This window comes from Homo sapiens, chromosome 22, assembly GCF_000001405.40.
Source record: "Homo sapiens chromosome 22, GRCh38.p14 Primary Assembly".
Classification (NCBI taxonomy): domain Eukaryota; kingdom Metazoa; phylum Chordata; class Mammalia; order Primates; family Hominidae; genus Homo; species Homo sapiens.
The window spans coordinates 19727245-19740542 of record NC_000022.11 but is presented as its reverse complement, the minus strand read 5'-3'; the positions used below and the strand labels follow the sequence as shown (position 1 = coordinate 19740542).

The following is a 13298-nucleotide window of genomic DNA, read 5'->3' as shown; positions in this document are numbered from 1 at the left end:
GTCCCTCCACCCTGCTTAGAACACTGGCCTTGGTTCCTGCCCAGAGTTCACACTTGCTCCCATAGGACCATGGATACTGTCAGCCAAGGACAGTTCAGATGGGGAAACTGAGGCATTGGGAAGGAGGCCTCCTTGAGGAGTCAGCCTTTTTTGCTCCTGGAGGTGGAAATGTGCACCCCCCACTCTGGTGTCCAGCCTTGTGCCAGATGAGGGGCATCAGGAGTCTTGTAAAGAGAATGACACCAGCTGGGTGCAGGGCCCAGTATTCGGGGTGGGGTCCTGGGGCAGGAACACTTGCATGGGGTCTTGAAGGTTAAGTAGGAGTTTTAGGATGGCCCTGGTGCAAAGGCTCCCTCGACAGGAGGAGCAGCCACAGCAGAGGCCTGGAGGGCTTGGGCTGGCGCCAGGCTCATGGTGTATAATGGAGGCCCTGGTCCGCCAACACAGGCCCAGGGAGGAGGTGGGCTTGGGTGCTGGGTGAGGGGATGGGGCCTCAGGGTGATTCCATGCTCGGAGCAGGCTTTGGGACCTGCTGCAGTTGGGCTTGGGGAGACAGGAGAGCACCCCCTGCTTGTGGGCTCTGCCACTCAGCTCGAAGGCGGTTCTCTCCTACCTCTACTGCCCAGGGACCACTGACTGGAGGAAGATATGGCCCCCACACCCCCTCACTCCCTCCCAGGCAGACCACCAGCCTTGGCCCCAGGGACAGGCCTTGGTGCAGAGTGGGAATTGGAGCCAGGCAGCAACAGCTGGGCCCACTGGTGCATCCCCCGCCAGGGGCCCCTGCCTTCGTTCCCAGGCCCCCGAACCAGCCCGTTCCCAGGCTGCACCCCACCCCCGAAAACACACTGCCTGGGATGTGAGCAGAGGAGGCTTCCAGGGGACCACCGGCTGGGAGGTCTCGCCTGTCCCCTGGCTACCGGGACGCAGGACCAGCCACCCGCAGGCCCTGAGGAGGCCCCACCTCCATCCCTTGTGCTTCTGTCCGTGGGCACTCCCTCTGTAGGAATACACACTCCAGAGTGGGGGCGTGGGAACTCGGCAGTGCTCACGCCCCCTGTCCAGCAGGGACCATGGCGGGGGGGCGGGACCCCAGCAATTCTCAGAGCAGTTTTGCGCGGATCTGTCTGTGTGGAATCGTGTCGTTTGAGGGCTGCCGTCCCTTCTTGGCAGCACGCGTGGGCTCTCTGCTTGCTTCCTTGGGAGCAAGTGCCCACGCCCTGCTGGCAGACAGTCGGGGGTGCCAACTTCTTTCTGTGGCCAGCGAGGCTGTGCTGAGGCCAGGAGTGCCTGTGTGGCCACCTGGTGCCCTCTGGAGAGACCTGGGTGGGTCTGTCCCTACCCGTGCCCGCCCCAGGTTTCTGGGGTGTCTGAGCATCCGGCTGCCTGTCTGTGCCCAGGGCCCCCCACACCCTGTGCTGGGGTGAAGCTCCCATTTTACATGTGGGGAAACTAAGGCCGTGGCTGACCCCTGAGGAGCGGGAGGGGCATCTTGTGGCTCAACAGCCATGGCTGCAAGTGACACGGAGACATGGGGGAGGGGCACAGATGGATGCCTAAGACCCACACTGTCTGGGCCGTCCTCCTTCGTGTCCGGGGCTGTAGAAGGCAGGACTGGGGTGGCTCCCTCAACCCGGAGGAACCAGGCACCGTGTCCCAAGGATCTGAGGTCGCTGGAGTCCCCGAAACCCGAGCCAGCGGCTGGCCCTGGGAATGGGCGTCTGACCCCTCTGCGGCCTCCAGGATCCCAGAGAAAATCCTTGAGGCCGAGTTAATACCACGACCAATTTTTATTTCAACAAAGTTAATTCTCAACAATGTGATACTAACGGAGAGGGATTTTCCTGCTTTGGAGGAGGGGGTGGGGGTCCTGACACGGCGCTGCCCCTCCCCTCCCCCTACAGCTGTCCTCGCCACAGGGCAGGGAGTGGGCCTGGAGGGTGCAGTGGGGAATGGAGCAGTGCCTCTCCTGGAGGCGACCCCAGACCCCCAGGGAGGGCTGCCTCCTCTATCCTGCCCGAATGCCCTCCCTCTACACAAGCCCCTCCCCAACCCCTGAGATGGGCCAGGGGAGCTCTAAGCACCTCCACCTCTCCTTATCTCCTCTCTGAGGGCCAGGTCTGACTCCGTCTGTGACCTGGGCACGCAGGGGTTGATTGGGAAGTTGTGCTAAGGAATGCATGAGCTCCAGTCCCTAGTGGACCCCTGACCACTCCCTGTGGTAGCTGGCCAGGATTCAAACTGGGCAGGAGCAACCTTCCAGGCACCTCTGCCCAACTGGGGAGCCCCAAGGGAGTAGAAGGGGAGACTGGAGGAGGAGGGGCACTCGGGCTTGACCTCAGTGACCTCCCAGCTGAGCCCACAGCCGGACCCGGAAGCCACTCCTCCTGCTTGGATAATCGATGGTCAGGAGGGTCCCGAGCCCTGTCAGAAATTCCTCCTGACAATGACCACATGGGCTGTCTCACAGGGCTAGGCCCTGCCCTGGCCGCCGGGCCACCTCTCTCGGTCCTGGCCCACTCCGTCACCTTAGCCTCGGCCCCTCTGGCCTTAGGTGGGCACTCACTATTCCCTCCTAGACAGAGGGGATGCAGGGCCCAGGCAAGGCATGCCCCCTCCCTGCTGGGCCTGTGCCCTCCCCCACCCTGCAAACCCCAGCACTGCCCAGGACCTGCCACCCCGAGTGTTGCATGGGTGGCTCCTATGGGCATAGCCAGGGGAGCCCATGATGGGGGGACAGATGGGTGGAGAGGAGGGGCATTTCCAGCAAAGGAACCAGAGTGTGCAAAGGTTGAGGGGTGCCTCACTCGGAGGGCACTGCCAGAGGGCAGGAGTGAGGCCCAAGGGCACTGCCGACAGGCCAAAGTCAAACCAGATGGGCTGAGGGCCCTGGGGGGCAGGCGGGCCATTCGTCACCGTTATCTGCCTCGCTGCCGAAATCACAAACACATTTTTAAGTGAAGGACTGGCTGCCACTGGCCTGCGGGCCCTGATGCCGCCCAGCTGTGGCCATATTGGGGGCGGGGGTGGTGCAGGAGGGAGGGGTGCCTGCTGCCTCAGGACCCACCCCCCAGGCTGTGTACTGGGGCTGCCTGAGGGGACAGAGGGGCTCCAGGTGAGGGATGTACTTTCTGAATGGGCTGCTGGCTCAGTGGTCATTCCACAGGATGGGGCTAGGGGCAGAGACCAAGGAGAGAGACAAAGACAGAAATAGGGGCAGTGATAAAGAGAGACAGAGATAGGTGCAGTGGGCCAGGTACTTGTCATCAGAGACCCTCCCAGTGTGTGCAGCACCAAGCCATCCAAGCTGCGAGGCACGGCCCAGTCTCACGGCGGCTGTGTCTGGCCTGTGTGATGTGGGCAGGGCCATGGGAGACTCAGGGTGGCCCGTGGCTCCCCGTCTCTTGGGGTGCAGGTGAGGGTGGGGCCGGCACTCCATGTGGCCATTGCTCCGGGAGCATAATGCAGGTCCTGCCTGGCACCCGGCAGTCCCCTCGACCCGGCACCCTGGACCCCTGGGCAGGTCCTCAGGGGTGGGGGGCGCCGGGAGAAATGGCCTGTGACGGGGTGGGCGTCCATGGCGGGAAAGCAAACAGTGTCAGTGGCTAATGAGCGGGAACCGGGCCTGGGGCCGAGGGCCGGGGAGGGGCACGGCCATCGCTCATCCTGACAGCGGGCGGTGAGGGGGGGCTGGGGCCGAGATGGGAGGGAGCTTGAGAGCCGACAGAGGGTCCCCTGGAGACCCGACCCTGCACACAGACAGACCGACGGACGGAGGGGAGGCAGCCAGGTCCCAGGCCCCAGCTGTGGCCCTGATGGGACCAGCTTGCCAATTTGCTCCATCAGCTCCCTGTTGAGGCTTCAGCCGGAGGCCCCACCTCCAGACTTTGCAGGACAAAGGTGGCTCCGTGGGGAGGGGTGTGCCTAGGACCCCCTTTATTGCATACTAGGGAGCAGGAATCCAGGATCTTGAGGCTCTGTTATCCTACCCATGTGACCTGGGACCTCTGCTCTCCCTGGGCCTCAGTTTCCCCATCTTTACAAGGCAGAGGAGGGCAGGTGAGCTCTGAGGGGCTCTCTGCTCTGATTCGACAGTATCTCCGCTCCTCTTCCCTGTGTGCAGCCCCAGCTGCCCTCGAGGCCCCCACCCTTTCTGACAGTCCTCCCCAGATCTCAGTACTCCCAGTGGGCCTAGTGGCAGTGGGTGGCTGACTCAGCACCTGAGGGGAGCCACCCCCACACCTGCTGTCCCTGGGGCATCCAAGTTGTCCCCTCTTTCTTAGGTGGGAAGATGAGAAGCCGACTGGAAGGGGGCATGGAGGCTGGGACATTAGGCTGGGCTCTGGGCCTCCATGCCTCTGGCACGTGGGCAGCCACTGTGCCCCCAGCCCTCACCCAGGCAGAGTGGCCTCGCCTCTCATTGCCCCAAGCACCCTGAAGTTGCAGGGTTTCTGTGCAAGACCAGACCTTGGGAGCACTCCTAAGCCCTCCCGGCCCAGCCCGCCCCCATGGCCCCACAACAGCCCAGTGGAGTGGACTGGAGGTTCCTGCCTGAGAGGTATCCCGGCCCCTGTCCTGCCTCAGCCAGGAAGGGGGTGCAGCCATAAATTCACACCGCCAGCCGCCCGCGGGATAAATGTGTCGTCGACTGCACAATTTACGAGCACGCCCCTGGCCCGAAAGGCAGAGAAAATAAGCCTCTGTGTACACATGGTGCAGCGGGCAGGGCCAAGCTGCTACGAGGGGCACACAGCAGGGAGGCGGGGCAAGAGGTGTGAGGACACACTCATGGGGGCATGGGACACAGATGGAAGTGTGACTGCACATCTCTGGCACATCCACACACACACACAGGGTGGGACTGGCACACTTAGAAGGTGGCCCGGCATGCCTGGGGCCACTCTGCAGGCTTGCCACCCGGAAGCTGAGTGGTTAGCCTTGAGGGTGACCCACTGTGGGGCGGTGATGTCTCCCAGGGAAGGAGACCCTCCGATGCTTGCTGTGCATGTACCTGTGTGAGCAGGTTCTTGCCCGCCCCAGGAGGCCCAGGAGGACACTGACAAGGGGTGGCCTTAGGGCCACTGCATGGGGAGTCAGAGGCAGAGCTGGTACCGCATGACACAGGGGAGTGCTTCGGGAGATGGGGCACACGGGAACAAGGGCTGGGGCTGGTGATGCCTTGGCTCTGCTTGGGGTCCTACCTGTTTTTGAGACTCAACCGGCCTTGTCCCAGAGGCCTGGGGACCCAGGGGGCCTCTGAGCACATCCAGACACCAGTGCAAAGGGAGCAAGGCCATGCAGCCCCGAACCCTCACAGGCCTGCCATCACACCTGTGCACAGCAGGCTTGTGGCTCCACTGGTGTCAACCAAACTCCAGCCCGAGTCACCTGCTAGGGCCAATCCAGGTACAGCAGCCCACGCCTGAGAGAACATGGGGAGGACTGCAGGAAGATTCTGGGAGCACTCAGGGAGGATGTGGAGAGGATCCAGGAAAGACTGGGAGGACTCCAGGAGACAACCTGGGGAGGGTTCAGGGAGCTTTTGGGAAGATTCAGGGAGGGCTCTGGGAGGATTCAGGGAGGACCCAGGGAGACTTATAACAGCAGGATTGAGTCTAGCCAGGACTTGGGAGGTCTGTGGAGTCTTCTGGCTGGCCTTAGCAGGAAACACCCTTCTGCCTATGATCTGGGGATGCTCTCCGTGCTCCAGATGGTCCTCCTGTTGACCTTGCCACAAGAGACTCAAGAGTGTGACCCTCTGGGACAACTCCTGTTAGCAGTGGCTCCTTGGCCAACAGAGAAGGGGCTGACTGATATCCCAGAGACATCCATGGCAGCACACGGCACCTGGCACCCCTGGGGAGAAAAGGCCAGATCACTGACCCCTAGACTATGGACCCTGAGCAGACACCTGTCAGAGACCTGCTGACCTGAGACACCCAGAGCAGGACTCTTCAGGCTCAGAACCCCAGACCAGGGACTCATAGACTAACATTCCATAGACCTGGGATTCCCATACCAGAGAGTCCCATGCCAAGGACCCCAGGGCAGAGGGTGGCCAAGAGAGGCATTTAGTGCCAAGAGAGGCCCTGAGCTCACACAAACAGGTCCATCCCCACTTTTGCCACAAAGAAAGTCAGTGGTCTCCCACTCCCCTCAGCATAGATGCCTGGAACCTGCTTGGTCTCAGAGTGACCAGGTCCTTGGCCTCACGTACTGCTCTGCGTACTGGTGCCTCTCTGGCCCTAGCCCCCAGGCTACCCTCCTGGAGGAAGCCAGTGCAGTTGGTGCCGCGCGAGCACCTTCAGTGGGCAATAAGGGCACGGGGTGGGCATGCTGGGACAGGCGGCTGTCAGGGGCTCCTACCCTCCCCAGCCCTGCTCAGACAGCAGCCCGTTCCTCGGCATTTACAAAGTTTGGCTGGAACTCTTCAATAGCATCTTTAAATAAACAAAGCATAGAGAAAAGCAACTCCCCAAATACAAAGCACATCAAAATAGATTTTGAAGCAGACACCCGGGCAGAGCTCGGCCCTGGATCTGCCCGTAGGCACCTCCTTGAAGCCCCACCCCAGCTTGGGATCCCCTGACTGGCAGGTACAGCTGCCACATGGTGCAATGCAGTTGGCAGAAGCCTTGGTCTGCTCTGTGGGCTGATGCTGCCCTGGGACCCTCACCCCTGGCTCACTGGACCTCCAGCCATAGACTGAGGCTTTCCTCCCAGGAGTGGGCACCCTAATTCTGTCAACATGGTCCAGCCAAATGGGGACCTGCTGGTGCCCAGCTGGGGTCTGTGCCCCCACATCCCATGGGTCCATCAGGCAAAGTTCAATGGCTTCCCTTCCAGATCCTCCCATCTTTGAGGGTTCCTGTACCCCACCAGGAGTGCAGTGACCTTGCAGGGCTGGCCCTAAGGTCCTGCGTGGCTGGGACAAAGAGAGTGGAGAGAGTCACACCTGGGCGGCCTGGGAAGGGCAGGGCAGACTGGTCCCTGTGGTTGAGTGAGCCCTCGCCTTCCCGGCCCATTTCCAGTCTGTTAGGCCTGGAGTCCCTCAATTTGTCAGACATGCTTAAATACACCTAGGTGAGCCCCAGAGGACTTCGTACTAGGGGGAATCCCAGTGCGGGGAGGAGGGAGCTGGCCCTCTCAGGAGGGATGGAAGAGGAGTGAAGTGCCTCTGCCAGGTGGGGGTCTGGGGCCAAGGGATCTGCACCCCCCCAGCCCTTGACCCTGGCAGCCGGCAGGCTCCAGACAGGTCTGCACACTGGTATGAATGATTGAACGTGAATGGATGACGGGAGATGGGCTCCCCTGCACACCCCAGCACCCTACTCCCCTTGCGCTCTTCTCCCTGGGACATTCTGGAAAAGCCAGACCCTCCTACAGGCTGAGCTGAGCACACTTCCAGCTGCTGCACACTCTGAACCCTCCCCTGAGACATCGCTAGTGCTAGACTCAAGGGTTTGCTCTGAGGATGAAGGCGACAGTCCAGGTAACCAGGCCCAGGCCAGCCCAGTGACAGTCAGTGCCTGTCTCAGGCACAGAATTCCAACATCTCTGAAGGTCTTTCTAGACAAGAAGCAGCCCTCATCCCCAACCCCACGGCTCTTTGAGACAAGCTGGGGTGATGTCACGGTGGACATCTGTGTTTCCTTGTGTACAATGCCCTTATGCCCACCACGGGAACCCTGGGAATGTCTGTAGGCTAGACCCTGGACAGGGGTTGCTGAGGCCGGCCCGGCTAGAACTAGGCTGCTGAGCACACCCCACAGCTCCAGGGAGCACTCCCCCAGGCCCTCTCAAGCCTCTCCCACTGGGTACTGACTCTGCACCTGCCCTGTGTGTATGTGTGTGGGGTGCGCTCACCTGCGGGGGATCCACCTGGCCCATCTCTCACCACCTTTTGTCCAGCTGGCCCTCAGTACCCTGGGGGGTGGTGGTGACAGGAAGACAGGATAGAAGGAGGCATTTCCTATGGGCAGAGAAGACCCCCAGGAGGGCTTCACTGGGTAGGACATGCTGATCCCTAGTTCCTGAGGGGCCAGCAACAGGGGGTCTCCTGATGAGGACACAGAGTTGCTCCCTGCAGACGTTTCCTGTCTGGAGAGAGAAAGTGAGGATGTGAGTGTGTACATCCAGTGTAGACAGTGCTCAGTCAGTTCGACTGTGCTGGGTGTGGGGGCCACTGGGGTTCCCCTCAGGGCTGTTTATTTTTATTTTATTTTTTTGAGACAGAGTTTAGCTCTGTCACCCAGGTTGGCGTGCAGTGGCGTGATCTGGGGTCACTGCAACCTCTGCCTCCTGGGCTCAAGCCATCCTCCCCCTGCAGCCTCCAGAGTAGCTGGGATTACAGGTGCCCAACACCACCACGCCCGGCTAATTTTTGTATTTTTAGTAGAGGCAGGGTTTCACCATGATGGCCAGGCTGGTCTTGAACTCCTGGCCTCAAGTGATATGCCTGCCTCAGCCTGAGGGCTGTTTAAAGAGGGACAGACACAGCCAAGGACAGGCCTAGTCCCTAAGACCAGTGGCCCTGAAGCCCTCCCTTCAGCCTGTGGAGGTAGTGCTTTGAGAGCCCCTGCTGATTTATGGTCCTCCTGGGGGCGGGCAGGCGGGGGACGGAGTTATGGCTGCAAAGGTCTCCCTCCCTCCTCTACCTCCCTGTTGGGGGTCAGCCGGGGTGGGGGTACGGTGGCTCTCAGCTGGTTTCCAGATGGGCTTTGTGGAAGGGGCGCCCAGAGCGGGGAGGCCAGACACCCAAGCAAGGGTCCTGGCCCGTGTCAACGGGGCCACCACAGTGCCACTGTCTCTGGTCTCTCCTCTAGACCTGGCTCCCATCTCTGTCTCGGTCCCCATCTCTGTCACATGCAGCCCCCCTTCCCCACCCGTTGGCAGGGTGGGTGGGGGTGGGACCTGGTGATTTATCACCTTCAGCCTGTCTTCCATCGGAAACACAGGGGGTGGGCGCAGACGCTGCGCTGAGCTATGGGCCCCCAGGGCCCCGCCACCCACCCCAATGTTGTTGCTCCGTCTGGGCAGGGGGTGCAGTCCCCCCCACGTGGCCAGGACTTCAGCTCCCCAGACCTTCCCAGGACCTCCTCCACGGGGCCCCATTAATGCCTCGGCTAGTCGGGGGTCAGCCCAGCTCTGAAGCTGAGGCTAGGGCCACCCCAGGCTGGAGGGGGCCCACGAAGGACCCCACAGGCAACTCTCTCCAGGCGGGGCCAGAGGTGACAGAGCCTCTTTTCCTGCATCATTGATGGCCCATGGACCCGGCATCCCTGGCAGAGGCCATGGAGTCCAGGCCTTCAGGTCGCCCGCCCCTCCCCCGCGGCGGTGTGCACAGCCCGGGGCCCAATAAGTGTTTACCGAGCAAACACCAGCGGGAGGGGGACAGCGCACCTGGGTTGACCCCCACCCCACGCCCAGCGGAAGAAGTCCCTTATCTTCCCGGCTGACAGGCTGTCAGTGCACCAGGGCAGGGGCGGGGGCTACGCTCATCCCGCCCCGTCTGTCAGCCGCCACGCGGCGACACCCTCCCCGCCCTCACTAGGGGCAGCCTGCCCGTCCCACTCGGTGCAGCTCGCCGCCAGCCTGGACAACCCAGCGCCCCCGCTCCAGGCCTTCGTTTCTCCGCGGACCCCAGCTGTCTGCACCCACAGTGCCCACCTCTTTCCGCGCTCCCCCCTTAGCCAGCGTTTTCTGCAGACCGCGAGCGCCCTCTGGTGCCTGCCTAGGGTTGCTCGCCCATGGGGAGGACACGACTAGGCCCTCGCCCTGGGAGCTTCCTGGCCGGTCTGTGAAACCGGCGGGTGCGGCCTGAGCTGTGAGCCTCGCGGCCCAGCCCTCACTGACCACCACTGGCCATCACAGACTGGGTTGGAGAGGCTGCCGCTGACACGGCGTTTGTCTTGGCCTTTGCGGGACAAGACAGATGACCATCTTGCAGGGCCTCACTCACTCGCTCGCTCACTCACTAGCTGGCTGTGTATAGGCCCAAGATGTGGCTTGAACCCCAGATGGGTCTTGGGGACACAGGCCTGGACACTGTCCTGCACTATGTGTCAGGCCAGGGCAGGCCTAGGAAGCTCTGTGAGAATGGGCTTGGGAGGGGCCTCTAAGATTGAGGAGTAGCCACAGCGGGAAGGGCGTGCCCCGTGGAGGGACTGGCGCGGGCAAAGGCATGGAGGGCCTGGCCCATGGGGGAGGGTGCACCAGGGCTGGGCCTTGACCTAAGGCTGAGATCCCAGGAGCCCAGGGAGGTGGGGTGGGCAATGGTGGTGAGAGGGCCCTTGGGCTGCAGGGCAAGGAGCCCTGAATCAGCTAGCCTGGGACTGGAGGTGCGGGGTCCAGGCAGGGCTTGGAGACGGGACCCCCAACCTGTTCCTGCCTAGAAGGAAGAGTCTGAGGTCACAGAGGGGCCCAGCTCATCAGTGGGGAGGGGGTCCTGGGGCAGGTGTGTTGTCTGTGAAATGAAGGACAATGCTGGGATCAAGGTGGTGCCCAGATCTGCAGGGAGGGTGTGCCTTTCTCCCGTCCCCACAGGGCCATTCAGGTATACTGAACTGGGACTACTCACTTCCCCACACCCCTTGGAGGCTGAGGCCCCAGGGTCAGTGTGTGGAGGGTCAGCTCAGAGTCAGGCATGGGGACTGGGGGCTCCCAGGCAGCCAAGGAAGGTCAGCCAGCGAGGGAAGCCCTGTGCCTTCCACAGTCAGTACCTTGGCACGAACCAGTCTAAACCACGGAGAGCCGGCAAGAGGAGGGATTGTGGAGGAATCATAGGGTTCGGCTGCCCCGCCGACCAGCAGGCAGGAAGTTCTTCCTTAGGTCTAACCACACAGTGATTCCAGTAGCTTTCCTCAACAGGAGTCCCTCTGCCTCTGCAGCTCCTGCCCTTCAGGGCCCCCCCTGCCACCCCCTGAGCGACACACTGGCCCAGGAGACCTCAAGCCTTGCAAGCAGTGGGCTGCCCACTCCCCCTATCTCCTGCTGGGGCCTTTTCCCACAGACCAGAGGAGCGTCCTTCTCTTGGCTGGGGGCCACCTAAGACCCTGGGCCACTTTCTCCTGGGCTGTACATTTGCACCCCAAAGACCTCAGTGAGGCAGAGAAGGGATGCAAGAGGCCTGCCTCAGCCCTGTTTCCAGTTCACACAAAAAATGCTCTGGGGCCCAGCAGAGAGCCCCCTTCTGGGATCTGGTTTCTTAGAGAAAGTGGGGAGCACACCCCCTCCCCTGCCCTGCTTGGACTGAGTTTAGAGTGTTGCACATGCACGGTGTTATGACGATGGTTACCTCTGACCTACACTAGGACCTCTGGAGGTGCCAGGCCACCGCTGGGGAGGGCAAGCTGGGCAGTTCATTTGTATAAAGGGGGCCACTGTCCTCGATGTGGTGATAAGGCCGGATGGACAACCACAGTCGGCTGCAGCCCACAATGGGCCGGATGCCCTGCACCTGCTCACAAAGGCAGGGGTGGTTCCTGCCTCACGTCTGACTGGCAGCCTCGAGATAGCATCAGCCCCACAGGAGGGCCATCTGTCTTGTCCCACAAAGGCCAGGACAAAGGCCATGTCAGTGGCAGCCTCCCCGACCCGGTCAGTGGTGGTCAGTGATGGCCATTGGGGGCTGAGGGCCTTCCTGGGCCGGGCAGCCAGGACCTGAGGCTCCTCATCTGGGGCCTCTCTGGGATGCATGGAGAATAGTTTCCATTGTTCATAAGGCCAGACAGGTGGGGGCCACATGGACGGTGGCAGAGGAACCCTGTCCCTGGCACCCCAGGCCAGCCCAAATAGTGAGGAAGGCGTCAGTCACCTCCTAAGTTGGGCACCATGTGCTGACCTGTTTGCTCAGCTCCAGAATCCGGGCAGGGCAGTGGGAGGCCAGAGACTGGAGAACTCTGAGAAGCCCCTTGCTGGTCTGGGCAGTCGGAGAGGCCTTCCTGAGGGAAGTGGTGGCCCGGTGGGGGACTCGCCAGAGGCACAGGAGATGAGCAAGGAGCAGTGGCATGGAGAGTACCTTGTGCCAGTCAGAAGGAACATGCAGGCCCCGTGTGGTGCAGCCTGGGAGCCTGGGGAAGGCAGCAGCTGTGGGCAGGGACAGGAACGGCTCTTGGCTGGCAGGAGCAGGCTGCCAGCCCTGAGCCCTGGCAGAAGGGGTCTGGGGCCAGGGCCGCTGCTGTGGGATGGGGAGGGATGGCAGGAAGAGGGTTTGGGGGTGTTGGTGGAGCCTGTGGGGGGGCAAGTTCACTCCAGAACACAATGATTCCAGAGACCCTGCAACCCCTGAGGTCCACTCATCGCTGTGGGGCCCTCCAAGAACCCCCACCGCATGTGACTCTGTCACATAGAGGCCATCTTCTCATTCGGATGGTCCAGGGATCCCGGATGGAGCAACAGACCTGAACCAGCCCTGGTCACCTGCCCCAACGCTCCCCTAGTGAACTGAATGCTGCCAACGCCGCAGTCCCTGCATCAGGAAACCCAACCCTTGAAATGCTCTTGGTGTCCTCAAGGCCGGCACTGTCCACAAGAACCAGCCCCTGAACATGCTCAGAGGACGAGACACACTGCTGGGACTGTCCTCACTGCCTAGAGTGTTCTCACCACCCCCAAAGCATCCTCACTGCCCCCACAGCGTCCTCACTGTCTACCGTGTCCTCACTGCCCCCACAGCACCCTCACTGTCCGCGCAGCGCCCTCACTGCCCCCCAGAGCATCCTCACTGTCCCCACAGCACCCTCACTGTCCACAGCGTACTCACCGCGTCCACGGAGCCCTCGCCACCCCCACAGCATCCACAGCGTCAACATCTGCAGCGTCCTCACCGCCCCCACAGCGTCCTCACCGCGTCCAAAGAGCCCTCGCCACCCCCACAGCATCCACAGCGTCAACATCTGCAGCGTCCTCACCGCCCCCACAGCGCCCTCACCGCGTCCACAGCATCTTCACCGCCCCCACAGCGTCCTCACCGCCCCCACAGCGTCCTCACCGCGTCCACAGCGTCCTCACGGCGTCCACAGCCTCCTCATCGCCCCTACAGCGCCCTCACCGCGTCCACAGCGTCCTCACCGCCCCCACAGCGCCCTCATCGGGTCCACAGCGCCCTCACCGCCCCGAGAGCGTCCTCACCGCCCCGACAGCGTCCTCACCGCCCCCACAGCGTCCTCACCGCCCCCACAGCGTCCTCACAGCCCCGACAGCGTCCTCACCGCGTCCACAGCGTCCTCACCACCCCGACAGTGTCCTCACGGCGTCCACAGCGTCCTCACTGTCCCCACAGTGTCCTCACCGCGTCC

The 13298-nt window shown here is 62.2% G+C and overlaps 1 long non-coding RNA gene across 2 annotated transcripts, besides 1 other annotated feature; it reads right to left on the bottom strand.

The window, feature by feature from the left end:
- Nucleotides 1–1771: 1771 nt before the first annotated feature.
- LOC105372861 (uncharacterized) lies at nucleotides 1772–12822 on the bottom strand. Of its 2 annotated transcripts, none has more exons than XR_938005.3 (3): nucleotides 11843–12822; nucleotides 7867–8100; nucleotides 1772–5856 (listed from the first exon to the last, which is right to left on the bottom strand). It is a non-coding gene; the product is annotated as an uncharacterized LOC105372861 (long non-coding RNA). The 2 variants fall into 2 exon arrangements; XR_007068004.1 differs by lacking the exon at nucleotides 11843–12822 and adding an exon at nucleotides 9670–11214.
- Nucleotides 9623–9917: an enhancer, noted in NCBI's record as "tiled region #13949; K562 Activating DNase unmatched - State 25:Art". NCBI's record gives its function as "activates a minimal TATA promoter and a strong SV40 promoter by Sharpr-MPRA in K562 cells {active_cell/tissue: K562}" and the evidence as "EXISTENCE:reporter gene assay evidence [ECO:0000049][PMID:27701403]".
- Nucleotides 12823–13298: the final 476 nt, after the last annotated feature.